We start from the raw sequence: 15,924 nt of genomic DNA, 5'->3' as shown, positions 1-15,924 counted from the left end.
TGCCTACATGTACCAAGTAAGTGTAGTTTTTCTTTTTTAGGTATGCTAACCTTTCAAAGTGAGCTCCTTTACACAAACACATACAGAGAGGCACAGATAGATATAGATATTGCTCAAAGATTTTCTTTTTAATGTCTTACGTTCTTTCTGTAAACTTAATGTGATGTTTTTTCTTTATAGAGAGAGCTATCCAAAATCACGAATGCCTAGGGCTCAGAGCTACCCAGATAATCATCAGGAATTTTCAGGTTAGACTTTATAAATTCTAAATGTTTAAATGTTTATGTCATTGGATAATGTTTTGGCTGGGAGGGAGAGGGGGGATTTTTGAAAAGTCAAATAAAGATTTATAAATGTGCTTTTCATCATTAGAAATATTTAACTTTTTTTTTTAAATAAAAGATAACCATCTTATATGTCTTAACAGACTATGATAACCCTATCTTTGAGAAATTTGGAAAAGGAGGAACATATCCAAGAAGGTATCATGTTTCATATCATCATCAAGAGTATAATGATGGTAAGTTTCTAGCAATTAGACCACAAGAATAGTTAAAAAATCTCAACAACAAAAATAAATACAAAAATTTTTTAAAACCTCATATTTGTGTTAATACCATTAGAAAAATATGAGGAATTGTGTTATAACAAAAGTATAATGGGCATTTTGGCTTTATGACAACTTATAAGACTTGGTTATCCCTTAAAAGAAAATGAATAATTTTTTGTTTTAAGAGACAAGGTTTTGTTGCCCAGGCGGGAGTGCTGTGGCATGATCTTAGCTCACTGTAACTTTAAATTCCTGGGCTCAAGTGATCTTCCTGCCTTGGCTTCCTGAGTTCAGGTGTGTGCCATTACAGGCATTTGCCATCACACCCAGCTAATTAAAAAATTTTTTTTGTAGAGACAGTGTCCCACCATGTTGCCCAGGCTGGTCTTGAAGTCTTGGGCTCAAGCGGTCCTCCTGCCTCAGCCTCCCAAAGTGCTGGGATTACAGGTGTGAGCCACTGCACTTGGCCAAGAAGGAGTAATTTTCTTTCTTTCTTTTTTTTTTTTCCCCTGAGACAGAGTCTCACTCTGTTCTGTCACCCAGGCTGGAGTGCAGTGGCATGATCTCTGCTCACTGCACCCTCCACCTCCTGGGTTCAAGCGATTCTCACCTGGCTAATTTTTGTATTTTTAGTAGAGATGGGGTTTTGCCATGTTGGCCAGGCTGGTCTCAAAACTCCTGATCTCCAGTGATCCACTTGCCTTGGCCTCCCAAAGTGCTAGGATTACAGGCGTGAGCCACCGTGCCCGGCCTAATTTTTGTATTTTTAGTAGAGATGGGGTTTTGCCATGTTGCCCAGGCTGGTCTCGAACTCCTGGGCTCAAGTGATCTGCCTGCCTTGGCCTCCCAAAGTGCTGGGATTACAGGCATGAGCCACTGCACCCATCCAAAAGGAGTAACTTTTAAATGATATTAGAAAATTACTCTTTGATGATGAGATTGATACTTACATCATCCCTTTAAGAAAAAAAATTACTGGCCAGGTGCGGTGGCTCATGCCTGTAATCCCAGCACTTTGGGAGGCCGAGGCGGGTGGATCACCTGAGGTCAGGAGTATGAGACCAGCCTGGCCAACGTGATGAAACCCCGTCTCTACTAAAAATACAAAAAATTAGCTGGGCATGGTGGTGGGCGCCTGTAATCCCAGCTACTTGGGAGGCTGAGACAGGAGAATCGCTTGAACCCTGGAGGCGGAGGTTGCAGTGAGCCGAGATTGTACCACTGCACTCCAGCCTGGGCAACAAGAGTGAAACTCCATCTCAAAAAGAAAAGAAAAAAATTACTACCTGTGAACTTCTGCATCTTTGTTTTAGATTTTAAAATCATTATTGGAAATGAGAGTAAATTTTTTTCCTCCTTTTTATCCAGAAGTGAGGAGGTTCCTTTTTAAGATGTGTGTGTGTATGTTTCTGTGTGCACACTCATACATGTTTTATCATAAGAGATTATTTGAATTTGTATTCAGATCCTGTTTATTTTTTCCCACCCAATCATTCCTATTTGAGTTTCTTAGCCTAGTCACAGGACAAATTTCTATTCTCTACATTACAAATTTTAAATACTTTAAAAGTATAACATATTAATAAAAGGTATAAGGTCATTCTCTTTTCATTTTTTAGGTCGTAAAACTTTTCCAAGAGCTAGAAGGACCCAGGGGACCAGCTTACGGTCTCCTGTGAGTTTCAGTCCTACTGATCATTCCTTAAGCACTAGTAGTGGAAGCAGTATCTTTACCCCAGAGTATGATGATAGTCGAATAAGAAGAAGGGGAAGTGACATAGACAATCCTACTTTGACCGTAATGGACATCAGCCCACCCAGCCGTTGTAAGTAATAGAACTTGGTATAGTGAAATGTAGAGCAGAATCTTTGCAGAATTTTATATTATTAAAAGGAATAAATACTAAGTGAGTTTTTGGGGTCAGATGAACTACTCAAAAAAGGTAATAATGGTGTTTCTAAAGGTGGTTGGAATGTCAGGTATAAGCATGGTATCACTGCTAATTACTTTAGATAATTCTGTTCTTCACTTGTATTAGGAAAATTATTACCAACTAGTCATTCTTTATCCATGCATTCCACATATCCTTGTTGAATGCCTACCACTGAGATTTCAAACATAATCTCCAAGACATAATCTAATGGGATAGATGATACATGGAGAAATAATTATTGTATAGCATTTAAATGTGAGTAGAAATCACCAGCTGAGGAGATAATGTGCAAGAGGCCATAACATCATCTAAAAATGGGGAATAGTTCAATTTTTGGCTGATGTGGGAGTATCTTACTTGAAATAGTGGGAATAGGCCTACAGTGGTAACTCAGGCTGGATTGCAAAGCATTCAGACCTTACTGTGTAAGCAGTGCATACAAAGATTCATGTTCAAAGATGTTTATTGCAGCACTATTTGCATACTCTGAATTCCTTTTTGTGTGCTAGTGTGTCATAGTTTACTTTTATATCCATATTGACCCCATGCTATATTGCTGTTATTTTTGCTTTAGACAGCTATCTTTTGAAGTGATTAAAAATAAGAGAAAAATGTCTTTTATATATATCTTCAGTCTATTCATTTTTATAGATCTTTGTATATATCCAAAATCTGTATAAACAAAGACAGATCCAAGATCTATTGGGTATCAAATTCCTTCTGCCTGAAAAACTGCATTTTAACCTTTCTTGTAATATAGGCATGCTGGTACTGAGTTCATTCTGCTTTTGTTTGTTTGAAAAAAGTCTATTTCTCCTTCATTTTTGAAACAGGATCTCACTCTGTCACTCAGGCTGTGGTGCAATCTCAACTCATTGCAACCTCTGCCTTCTGGGCTCAAGCAATCCTCCCACTTCAAACTCCCAAGTATCTGGCACTACAGGCATGCACCACCATGCCCAGATAATTTTTGTATTTTTTGTAGAGAGTGGGTTTTGCTGTGTTGCCCAGGCTGGTCTTGAACTCTTGGGCTTAAGCTGATTCACCTGCCTCAACCTCCCAAAGTGCTGGGATTACAGGTGTGAGCCACTGCACCTGGCCTTTCTAGCACTTTAAAGCTATTGTCCCATTGTCTTCTGGCTTATATACTTCCTGAAGAGAAATCTGCTATAATTCTTATCTTTGTTCCTCCATATGTAATATGCTTTCTTCCCCCACAGCTGCCCCAGCTGCTTTCAAGATTTTGTCTTTGATTTTCTACAGTGTGAATATGACGTGTCTAGGTATATTTGTGTAGGGTTCCCAGCTGGTGTTCTTTCAGTTTATTATATTTATAGTTTGTCTGTGAAAAGTTCTCAGTTGTTACCTCTCCAAGTATTTTTTCTGTCTCATTCTTCCTTTTTCTTTTGGGATTCCTATTACCTATACACTAGACTATTTGATACTGTCTCATACCTCTGTTGTCTCTCTCTCTCCCTCCCTCTCCCTTTCTCCCTGTCTCCCTCTCTCCCCCACCATTGATCTATTTTCAGGTTCACTGATTCTTTCCTCAGCCTTGTTGCATCTATTTATGATCCTGTTGAAGGAATTCTTAACTTCTGTCATTGTTTTTCATTTCATGCATTTTCATGTGACTCATTCCTGTAGTTTCCATCGCTCTGTTCACCATCTGTTCATGCATGTTGTCTACCTTTTCCATTAGAACCTTTAACATGTTAGTCATAGTTATTTTAAATTTCCCTTCTGAACCTCCTGAGTCTGGTTGTATTAATTGCTTTCTCTTTTGATTTTTTTTGGAAGGGTTGCTTTTTTGTGTCTTATCATTTTACATTGAATGCCAGATATCATGTATAGGATAAGGGAGGAGGTAAATAGAATGTATGCCTGGAAATAGGCACAGCTCTTCTTCTGCTAGGCCGTTACTGTGAGGAGCTAAGTCAATCAGTCTAGTTAGGAGTTGAGCTGGGTTTGGATTTTGTTGTTGTCATGGTCTCTGTGCACCACTGACTTTAAATTCTTCTAATTACCTTGTGCTGGTTTCCTAAAGGGATTTTCTCAATGGTCCTGCTCCATCAGCTTTTTTTTTTTTTTTTAATTTGAGATGGAGTTTCACTCTTGTTGCCCAGGTTGGAGTGCAGTGGCGCGATCTCAGCTCACCGCAACCTCCCCTTCCCGGGTTCAAGCGATTCTCCCGCATCAGCCTCCCGAGTAGCTGGGATTGCGGGCATCTGCCACCACACCTGGCTATTTTTCTTTTTCTTTTTTTTTTTTTTTTTTTTTTTTTTTTGTATTTTTAGTAGAGATGGGGTTTCACCACATTGGCCAGGCTGGTCTTGAACTCCTGACCTCAGGTGATCTGTCCGCCTCGGCCTCCCAAAGTGCTGGGATTACAGGTGAGCCACTGCGCCCAGCCTTGGCCTTTCTTTTGTGCCTACTTCTCAGAGAGGGAGGATCTCTCCATGGCCTTGTCATGCTCTCAGTAAGTGGATTGCTGTTACTTGCCAGCCTAGGAGAGGGGAGGCAGACTAGAGGGTTCTGTGTTGTCCTATCCAGCTTCAGTCTTAGGCAGGCTTTATCTCCTCAGTTCTCAGAGATGGGCTTGCCCACCTTCCGGGAGTAGGAGTGCTCTAATGATCAGGGTCACAGAAGGTTTCCAGCCTCAGCCTCTCTCTCAGGGGTAGGGTTTTTTTTTTTTTTTTTTTCTTTTGCATTCCCCTAGCCTCAGTGGGTCTTTAACTGTAATGCAGGGGTGACAGGGTTTGCTGCTTTCTCCAGCGGCTGAAGGCTCTCGTTTCTTAGGGGAAAAGGGTTTGGAAGGACTTTCTGCGTTTCCCACAACAGTGGGCCATTCCCCTTTTCCAGGCCTTGACCACCAAGGGAGGCTTTCCCTGGTGTCTCCTGCTCCTATGAGTGCATGGTAGAGGTCCACAGAAAAGACTTAGAGCAGGTGTGAGCTCACCTGTGTCTAGATCTCCCAAGGGTTCAATACTCTCATGCCAGCCCACATTTGTTTAAAATGGAGGTGAATTCTTCCTTGCTTGTGTGGGTCTTTGTCTGTGCTTTGCCACAAGTGAGCCAGTGCTTCTGTTCTGTCTCTCCTTGGAGGTACCACTTTTTCCTTAGATTTCAGGTTAGTTGGTTGCCCTGCAATCTTAGTTTTTTGATATGTGTTCAACAAAAGTTAAATTTTGTAGATTACCCAGATTTCTCTTGTTGTTTGGATGGGAATGATACTCTTTCCAGCTTTCTACATTGTAGGTGGAGGCTGAAAAACTAAGTACAAATATTACTGCAGTGAAGAATAGAAATGGTGCATCTTACAGTCTTTGGAATGTTAGATTGAGTGAAAGAAAGATGCTGTCACATGTGTAATTAGGAAAACAATTTCAGAAAAAAATGAGTCTTGGGATATGAATCTCTTTTTGATTTAGGATTTGTAGAAAATTGACGAAAGAGAAAAATTTGAAAGACGGTAACTGTGAATTTGGATAATCATAATTTTTCCTTATATCCAAGTACATTCAATGAAGGATGTCACTAATGCAGTATGCTCATTTAGTTATTAACCATTTATTTGTGTGCTGTTTGATATTTCACTTTAAGAAAGTGTTCTTTTTCAGCACCTCGAGCTCCGACCAACTGGAGATTGGGCAAACTGCTTGGCCAAGGAGCCTTTGGAAGGGTCTACCTCTGTTATGATGTTGATACAGGAAGAGAATTGGCTGTTAAGCAAGTTCAATTTGACCCCGATAGTCCTGAGACCAGCAAGGTAAAAATCACTGCACAAATTACTTTGTCACATTATAAGAAACTTTATTCATTATTATTTTTTAACATTAAGCCCCTTCCATTCTAAATAAGAAGCATTTTTTTTCAAAAAAAAAAAAAAGCAGTTTTCTTTAGTATAAATTATTTGTAAAACAGATTAGATATGTTTGTCTATTTTTTAATATGGATTTTTCTTTTTTAGTACTTCAGTTATAATCCTAATCTGAGTCAGTGTTGCTTTAGCATATCATCAAGGACTGTTTAAAAAGTTATTGGTTAGAGACTTTCAGATGTTTATTACTTGGGAACTAAAATTTTCAGAATGAAATCACCTTGATGGTCCATGAAGTTAGAATTTTTTGCTTTTACTGACATTGTTGAAGACTTAACAATGAATTCTCTCTTTCAGGAAGTAAATGCACTTGAGTGTGAAATTCAGTTGCTGAAAAACTTGCTACATGAGCGAATTGTTCAGTATTATGGCTGTTTGAGGGATCCCCAGGAAAAAACACTTTCCATATTTATGGAATATATGCCAGGGGTAAGTTAGTACATCTTTTTGAAAATACACATTCTATTTAAAATTTTAGTTAATAAAAGAAAAACAACAAAAACGTAGATTATAAAATGTTAACCCTAGTTAAGGACATTTTGGAAGAGTTTTAAATTAGAGCTGAGTAGTATTTTCTATCCTCTTCCTCTGTCTTTGTATTTTTTAACTCATTAATGATAAAAGTATTCTCAAGTAGGTTACAGACATCTTAGCAGCCCATCTTCAGATTTCCTTAAATGCCCTAAAATGCCCTTTATAGCTGATATATTCACACCAAGTTCCAGTCTATACATACATTTAATTGTTATGCCCCTTAATTATCTCTCTCTTCTTAAACAATTTTTTATAATTCTTAAAAAGAAGTAGAGACAAGGTCTCACTCTGTTACCTAGGCTGGTTTCAAACTCCTGAGCCCAAGTGATTCTTCTGCCTTAGCCTCCCAAAGTGCTAGGATTACTATCTAGAGCAGTCAATTTGTACATGATATAGATTTGACAAAGAGAAGAGGATAGCCTGTTAAGAGTCTTCACTCTCAGGATCTGGAAGAATTTGAAAAAAAAAAAAAAAAATTCTCATGGATTTCTCTAGTAGCATTCTTGTGGATTTTGTTTTTTTGTTTTAAATTTTTTATAATTTTAGTTATATGGAATGCTTTACAAATTTGCGTGTCATCCTTGCACAGGGGCCGTGCTAATCTTCTCTGTATCGTTCTAATTTTAGTATATGTGCTGCCGAAATGAGCATGCGGATTTTAATTTGTTTCTTTATCCCTTTTTTACTATAAACTCCAAGTTAGATCTGAGGTCTAAATTAGATTCACATTCAGCCTTTTTTATCTGATACGTCATAGATGAAGCTGTGTACTTTATGTTGCATCCTATCAGGAGCCAATTTCTGGTTATTCCACTGTAGCAATGCAAAGAGCTACCATTAGATGAGGATGATTGACATATTGAGTCCTGCATTGTAAAGTTTTGTTTTTTCCTGCACACCAGAAAGTAATATGAGGTATAGCAGTGGCACATAGGAATAGCCTGTTCCTTTTCAGCCATCCACCTAATGTTTTTAGCACTGATTGATAGTCATCACTAGAGTCTATAATTTCATTAGGAGTTATAAAATGTGATTTGTGACATCTGTCATTATATAGAGTACATCTAGTATTAATGATTTTCAAGGTGGTGATTAATATGTTTACTTATTTAAAAATACATGCATTTCCATAATTTTTATTTGTTTAATTTTGAGATGGAGTTTCGCTCTTGTTGCCCAGGCTGAGCAATGGCACGATCTCAGCTCACTGCAACCTCCGTCTCCTGGGTTCAAGCAATTCTCCTGCCTCAGCCTCCCGTGTAGCTGGGATTACAGGTGCATGCCACCACACCCAGCTAATTCTTGTATTTTTAGTAGAGACGAGGTTTCACCATGTTGGCCAGGCTGGTCTCAAACTCCTGACCTCAGGTGATCCCGCCTGCCTCGACCTCCCAATGTCGTGGGATTGCAGGCATGAGCCATTGCTCCTGGCTACAATTTTTATTTTTTGAGAAGGAGTCTTGTTTTGTTGCCTAGACTGGAGTGCAGTGGTGCGATCTCGGCTCACTGCAACTTCCACCTCCTGAATTAAATCAATTCTCCTGCCTCAGCCTCCTGAGTAGCTAGGTTACAGGCACCTGCCACCATGCCCAGCTAATTTTTTATATTTTTAGTAGAGACGGGGTTGGCTAGGCTGGTCTCGAACTCCTGACCTCAGGTGATCTGCCCGCCTCAGCCTCCCAAAGTGATGGTATTACAAGCGTGAGCCACCACGCCCAGCCGATGCCTGGCTAATTCTTGTATTTTTAGTAGAGATGGGGTTTCACCCTGTTGGCCAGGCTGGTCTTGAACTCCTGACCTCAGGTGATCTGCCTTCCTCACTCAGCCTCCCAAAGTGCTGGGATTACAGGTGTGAGCCACTGTGCCTGGCCTATTCTGTATAATACTACAAGTAGAGACACAGTAGACTGAACAAACAAGCCGTGCTGAACTGTAGGTGTGAGTAGTTGACTGGCCACACTTGCCGCTTTCCATATGTGTGTTTGCAAATTTGGGTCCACAGAATTGCAAAATGCTCTCCCTCCAAGGATGGCTCATAAACAGTGGAAAGGACAAATGGTTAAATCTGTAAAATCCAAGGATTTACTTTCATATGACAGAGTACACCGTTTACCAAAATTCAAGGAAAAGCAGAAACATTTGGATGTATTTTCCTGTCAAAAAAGAGATTTGTCCCTCAGGAAGCATTTTATTTCTGTCTTTTAAAGGGATTATTAATCAAACTTATACATTGGAATCACTAGGGAAGTTTTCAAAATTCAAATACCTATTCCTCACTTCAGACTGATTCAGCTTTCTCAGAGATGGCACCTTATCCTGCCCTAAAAAACACTTAAGAAAATCTATTCTCCTTTTGTGTATGTTCTCATGTTTCGAACTTGAGTGTTGAGTATATAAAGAAAAAAACTTTAAAATCTCTGTGTTCTTTCTAGTTACACCCATTCCTTTTTCTGAGAAAATCAGCAGATGTCAATAAAATACTTTAAAAACAGAATAAGAACAAAATAAGTAAAATTCAAGTAGGACATGCTTAGACGAGTGAGATGAGAATTCCTGCCCTCTTTACTGATAAAGATTTAATAGCAGTTTTCATTTCAAACCATATACAGTAGTTTTTATTTTTGTTTTCTTTTCTCCTAGGGTTCAATTAAGGACCAATTAAAAGCATATGGCGCTCTTACTGAGAATGTGACTAGGAAATACACCCGTCAGATTCTGGAGGGTGTCCATTATTTGCACAGTAATATGATTGTCCATAGAGATATCAAAGGTAAGTAATGAGGTATTTTCTATTTTAAGTACACAGTTCTTAGTGAATGTGAATGAAACAAGTGATGTGGGTAAGACATTTAACATTAATTCATCTGTCTCTGAAATACTACAGGGAAACAGTTCTCTTGCTTTCTTATGGACTCTGTCAGTGTTCTATCACACCAGTCCTGTCTCCACAAATGGGTAGCTCTACTGTGGGGGCTCACAGAACCAGTAAAGTTTAAGAGACCATACAAGTGAGATCATGTTTTCATACATATTGCATAGGTATTAGGATAGATTGGCTAAGAGTAGGATCCCTGCTGCCAGATGGCCTGATTCAAATTTGGGCTTTTATCCACACCGTGTGGCCTTGGACAAGTTACTCAGTCTCTCAGTTCCTCATTCTTAAATGATGGAGATAATAGTATCCAGCTCATAGGATTCTTGTAAGGAGTAAATGAGTTAATGCATGCAATATGCTTTAATTTAAACTCGGAGGAATGGGTGTCACTACCGAGGGAAAGAATGAAGAGAAGCGAAGAAAAGAGCCCCAAACTGAGCTTTGATGAACCCCAACTATGTCAAACTGACTTTAAAACTCAAAAACTCAGCTGTTTGCAGGGATAAAGGATGTAGGTAAATGCATAAAGTCACACAAAAGCAAGTGGTGGGGATAGGTGCAATTTAAGAATGCTTCAAAATCTATACTACAAAACATACCTGGAGGTTTAGTCCTGTAAAGGTAGGTTGTGGCCCCAAATTTAGACATCACTTTATAAATCAATCAATAAAAATAATGAATAGCAGCATGATGGTGCATGACTGTAGTCCCAGCTACCTGGGAGGCTGAGGCAGGAGGATCGCTTGAACCCAGGAGTTCAAGTCCAGCCTGGGTAATGTAGCGAGACCCCATCTGTTAATAAATAAACAGTCATGTGCCACATAATGATGATTCCACGTCATTATGGACCACATTTACAACAGTGGCTATACTATATAGACTAGGTGTGTAGTAGGCTATACCATTTAGGTTTGTGTAAATACACTCTATGATGTTTGCATAATGACAAAATTGCCTAAAAATGCATTTTTCAGAATGCATCTCCATCATTAAGCAATGTATTACTGTAAATGTGTATGTGTACACGTTTGTATTTGCATGTATAAAGATATTACTCATTGGTCTTGCTGGGGACTCTTACGAGCTCCCAGGCTTTCACTTCCCCTTTGAGGTGTGGCACGTCCTAATTATGGCCATATTCAGACCAACAAGAACATTCCTAACCAGTTCCTGGTGATAGAGTAGAATGCAGAATGCCTAAGCCAGATCACCTGTACTAGAGTGGGACTTAGAGTAAGTCTGAAAAGATGGGGACATTGCTCATGATCTACGCATCTTAGGCAGACCTCCCTTGTTAAGTACGAAACCTGATAGCTTGAAGAACCTCATAGAGAAGTTATTCAGTTAGGAATAATGTCCATTCAAGCCAGCTTCTCGTTAGCCCTCATAATGAGGCAAGGCAAAGGAACTGAGGGAGCTACCCGCCGAGTGGATCTTCTTCAAACTTTGCCAGAAGTGATGAGCCATCCTGGTCAAAAGAGAAGGCTGGAAGTAAGCTGATTTTAAAGCATAGGGCAAATATATTGATAAGAGAATAAATGTAAAATATAAAATTGGATGTGCAATATGATCTTAAGTTTGTAAAATTCAAGTATGACCTAGAAGGAAAATTTCCATATGATTGATGGTGGTTATCATCAAGTGGCAGGATGAGTGATGGTCGTTTTTATTTTTTTTTTTTTTAAGAGAGATTCACTCTTGTTGCCCAGGGCTGGAGTGCAATGGGGAGATCTCGGCTCACCACAACCTCCGCCCCCACCCTGGGTTCAAGTGATTCTCCTGCCTCATCTTCCCTAGGAGCTGGGACTACCAGCATGTGCCATCACACCCGGCTAATTTTGTATTTTTAGTAGAGACGGGGTTTCTCCATGTTGGTCAGGCTGGTCTCGAACTCGCAACCTCAGGTGATCCACCTGCCTCGGCCTCTCAAAGCGCTGGGATTACAGGCGTGAGCTACCGTGCCCGGCCTTTGTTTGTTTTTTTATTTTGAGTCAGGGTCACCCTCTGTCACCCAGGCTAGAGTACAGTGGTGCTGTCATGGCTCACTGAAGCCTCAACCTCTTGAGCTCAAGCAGTCCTTTCACCTCAGCCTCCTGAGTAGCTGAGACTACAGGCACACACCACCATGCCCAGTTAATTAAATTTTTTTTTGTAGAGATAGGGTATTGCTATGTTGCCAAGCTCCTATATACTTTTTCTGTATTTCTCAAATTTCCATGAGCAACTTTTAAATCGTAAGAGAAAAGGAAGATAGTTGATTGGTTTTCAATTTAGACCCGTGAAGTCATAATGAAACCTAGGATGAAAATTAATTGATTATATTGCTAGGGAACCAACTCATTATTTCAAGAACTAGTTGCTCTTCTGCCTTTGTTTTTGTTCCGTTTGTTTTACAAACTAGACCACTGAAGATGAAATTAATGGATGAAAGGAAACTTATCTTCATAGAAGTATTTTGGCTAACAAGCGGAGAAAGAATAATGAACAGATATTGCATTAAACATTAATAGCTGCTGATATCACTTAAATAGAGACTGTCTAGAATACAGCATCATCTATCTAGTTTTGTTCCTCAGTCCCCCAGAAATTGAACCTGAATCTGATCACGCCTCCAAATTCGGTTACAGAATTATGTAATATACATATAGGACAGATGAGCATGTTAAAATGATTCTTTGGGACGCAGTCAGCAAAATCTAGACCATGAGAAAGCTATAGGCAAACAACTTAGTTTCTTCATAAGTTGCAAAGAAAAAAGAAAAGGAGATTGGAGGGAACTTTAGGAAAGACTTAGAAGATTTATCAGTGACTCCCAATGTATGGACTTCATTTGGATTCTAGTTTTTTTTAATGTAACAAATTGAACACCGACTATATATTTGATAATATTAACAATTTATTGTTCATCCTCTTGGGTGTGATAAGAGTCCTTATCTTTGAAAGATATGTACTGAACCATTTGTTGATCATGACATCTTGAATTTGCTTCAAATCCTAGAGAGGGGAGGGGGAGTGGTTGGCAGTATGGCTGGGGCAGGATTGTCCAGATGGATGTTGAGGCTGGGTGATGGCTGCGCATGCTGCTCTACCTTTGTGTATGTCTGAAAAGTCTCCTTAATAACTTATTTTTAACATGTCCAAAATAAGTTTTTAGAAACTTCTGTTGGAGCCTGGCTACCCGTTTTCTCCTCCGCCCTTCTTGTGGATAAGCATTGGTTCAATATTGGTGATTCCGCCCCAGAGACAGCTTCCCCTGTCTGTGACCTGCCTTGGACTGTTCCTTCCCCTATCAGAGCCCTGCTTGTAGCCAGTAAAAAATGGGCTTTGTTGTCCTTCCACTGGTTAAGTATTCTAGAGACGGTGGCTTTTTTGACATTCCTTCTTAAAGTACTGGATGGTAGGAAATGTTAGACAGTGCTCTTTCAGAAGATCACTAATGTCATGGCATGTTTACACTTAAGGTGTGCAGAGAATGGACCCTGGACTCTCCTCTGGAGAGAGGCTTTAGGGAACCATCATTGACTAGACTGGGGAATTTGCTGGTAGAACAGAAAGACAGGTACAGAAGCCCCGTGATAGGGGTGGGGTCTCTTTATCCTCTCCAGTCTGTAAGGTAGCTTTTCTCCACTATTCAGTCTCCTTCTTAGAGACCGTTTTTTAAGAAAAGGGTAAGAGAACCAAGAAAATGAATCTTTGTAATATAAAATATGGTTAAGGTTATGGAAGAGTTAAAAATAAGAATTGAAGTAAAATTTTAAAATTAGATAATAAAATAAATGGCTTATTTAAGAATAGGTAAAGAAAAAGTTAAAAATGAGAAGGTCCAAAGTAATGAGGGCTATGTGGAAAAAAATGAGAAGAGAAATGATTTATAAAAGACGGAAACTAGATTTATAATCCCAGAAAAAATAGAGTTTTTAAAATGATAAGAGTGAAAATAGAGAATAAAAAACAAGTGAGCCTAGTGCCCAAGCTTGGTTTTTTGTTTTTGTTTTTTTGAGACAGGGTCTCACTTTATCACCCAGGCGGGAGTGCAGTGGCATGATCTCAGTTCACCGCAGCCTTGGCCCTCTGGGCTTAAGCGATCCTTCAGCCTCAGCCCCCAAGTAGCTGGGACTGCAGGCACATGCTACCATGCCCAGCTAATTTTTTTGTATTTTTTTGTAGAGATGGTGTCTCACCACGTTGCCTAGGCTGGCCTTGAATTCCTGAGCTCAAGCGATCCACCCACCTTTGCCTCCCAAAGTGCTAGGAGTACAGGTGTGTGCCACTGCACCTGGCCAATATCTTGTTTTTTTAATACCATTCTCCACTAAAAGGAACCAGGCCTCCTTGAGAAATGGCTGATTCTAGCACTGGTGCAGGAAATATACAAGATGAGCCTGGAGCATCTTCAAATGCCAGAAAGCAAGAAAGTGCTCCAAAACAAAAGCCAAGGATACAATGATGGGGGTATGGCAAAGGGACACAGAGTCAGTGGAAAGAACTCCAGTGGCTGAAACTGATAAATAGCAGGCAAATAAAGTAGTACTGGATTATAACCCAGTGTATAAAACAAATATCCATGTTCATAGTGATGCAAATGAATGATTTAATAAATATGTGGGAGAGGGGAGACAAATCTCTTCTGCAGCATAACTCCAAATAATTTATGTAGCTACTCAGCCTGGAGCATAACTCTTTACTCCTTAATTGTGGGCTGTGCGTGGCGAATTTCTTCCAAAGTACGGAAAGGGTGGGGGAGAATGACTTTACAGTGGAGAACCTGACAAACACTATCTTAAGCCAGGTGATCAAGGTCAGCATCAACAATGATGTTGACACTATGTGCCTTTAATATCGTATGATGAGAATGGCAGTTTAGCTGCGGTCTTCCTCCAAAAAACTTACAACCCCCGTTATGAGAACATGAGACAAATCCTAATTGAGGGGCATTCTACAAAAACCTGACCCCAGTACTCCTCAGAAATGTCATGGTCATCAAAAACAAGGAAAATTTGAGAAAGTATCCCACCTAAGAGGAGCCTCAGGGGACACGATGACTAAATATGGTGTGGGATCCTGGTTAGGATCCTGGATCCAGAAAAATGATATTAGGGAAAAACTGAGGAAATCTAAGCAAAGTATGAACTTGGTTAATAATATTTCAGTATTGGTTTATTAATTGTGGCAAATGTACCATACTAAGATATTAGTAATAGAGAAGCTGGGTGTGGGGGTATATGGGAACTCTCTATACTGTCTTTGCAATAATTCTGTAAATCTGAAGCTATCTAAAAAGTTTATTATAAAAGCTAATGAAATTTTAAATGAAAAGCTCAAAGCCTGCCTATGAGACATTTAAAATATTAGAAATTGGGAAGTAAAATTAATATAAAGCAAGATTCAATATTAAGAAAACTCTAAAATGTAAGGTAACTAAATTTAAGTAATAGAGGGGGAAAATGCTTTTGTTCTGAAGGTCCCTAAGGAAGTTTCTGAGAAAAGGCTGACTTCTCAGGGAAATAAGCTTCATCCATGGGCTTCTTGCTTTATGATAGAGAAACTGGGGGCTTTCTTGGTCCTTCACTGAGCTTCATTCTTAGCCCTTTTCCCCTTTCTCCTCCTCTTCACCCCCACCTCCAACCTGCACCAGTCCTTTTCAATAGAAACGTCCTAGGTCCTAAACACACAGCTGACCTAAAAATGTAGTGTTCTTGCAGCAAATCCTTAATGAGCACCACCTGTGTGACTAGCATTATGCCAGCTACTGCCAGAGGATGAAAAGCAGCCTAACTTTGGGGACAAATCAAAGAGTCTATGAAGTAATTCTCTGCCATTGTTCTTTTATGCTATATTCGAGACTGCCAATAAAATTAATGAAATGAGGCAATGTCTTATTTTTAGGCGCAAATATCCTGCGAGATTCAACAGGCAACGTCAAACTAGGAGATTTTGGGGCCAGCAAACGGCTTCAGACCATCTGTCTCTCAGGGACAGGAATGAAGTCTGTCACGGGCACACCATACTGGATGAGCCCTGAAGTCATCAGTGGAGAAGGCTATGGAAGAAAAGCAGACATCTGGTAGGTTTTGATACGAAGTTTGCTTGAAAACCACCTGCCGCCTATGTATTTCCACCTGGGATTGAATTACTGAGGCAGATGTAAATA

At 39.6% G+C, this 15,924-nt stretch overlaps 1 protein-coding gene and 1 pseudogene across 6 annotated transcripts in view; one reads left to right on the top strand and one right to left on the bottom strand.

The window, feature by feature from the left end:
• The window catches only part of MAP3K2 (mitogen-activated protein kinase kinase kinase 2), an 89,798-nt gene that overhangs the window by 64,044 nt on the left and 9,830 nt on the right, over nt 1-15,924 (top strand). For all 6 annotated transcript variants that reach the window (NM_001371911.1, NM_001371910.2, XM_047442990.1 and 3 more), the window contains 7 exons: nt 181-248; nt 428-520; nt 2,170-2,376; nt 6,105-6,253; nt 6,662-6,793; nt 9,539-9,668; nt 15,660-15,837. In NM_001371911.1, coding sequence (NP_001358840.1) covers nt 181-248; nt 428-520; nt 2,170-2,376; nt 6,105-6,253; nt 6,662-6,793; nt 9,539-9,668; nt 15,660-15,837 — 957 coding nt within the window. The remainder of the gene's footprint in view (nt 1-180; nt 249-427; nt 521-2,169; nt 2,377-6,104; nt 6,254-6,661; nt 6,794-9,538; nt 9,669-15,659; nt 15,838-15,924) is intronic.
• On the bottom strand, nt 7,443-7,549 carry RNU6-1147P (RNA, U6 small nuclear 1147, pseudogene; annotated as a pseudogene).

This window comes from Homo sapiens, chromosome 2, assembly GCF_000001405.40.
Source record: "Homo sapiens chromosome 2, GRCh38.p14 Primary Assembly".
NCBI classification, from domain to species: domain Eukaryota; kingdom Metazoa; phylum Chordata; class Mammalia; order Primates; family Hominidae; genus Homo; species Homo sapiens.
Note: the sequence above shows the minus strand (reverse complement) of the source record. Positions and strands in the feature narration are given on the sequence as shown.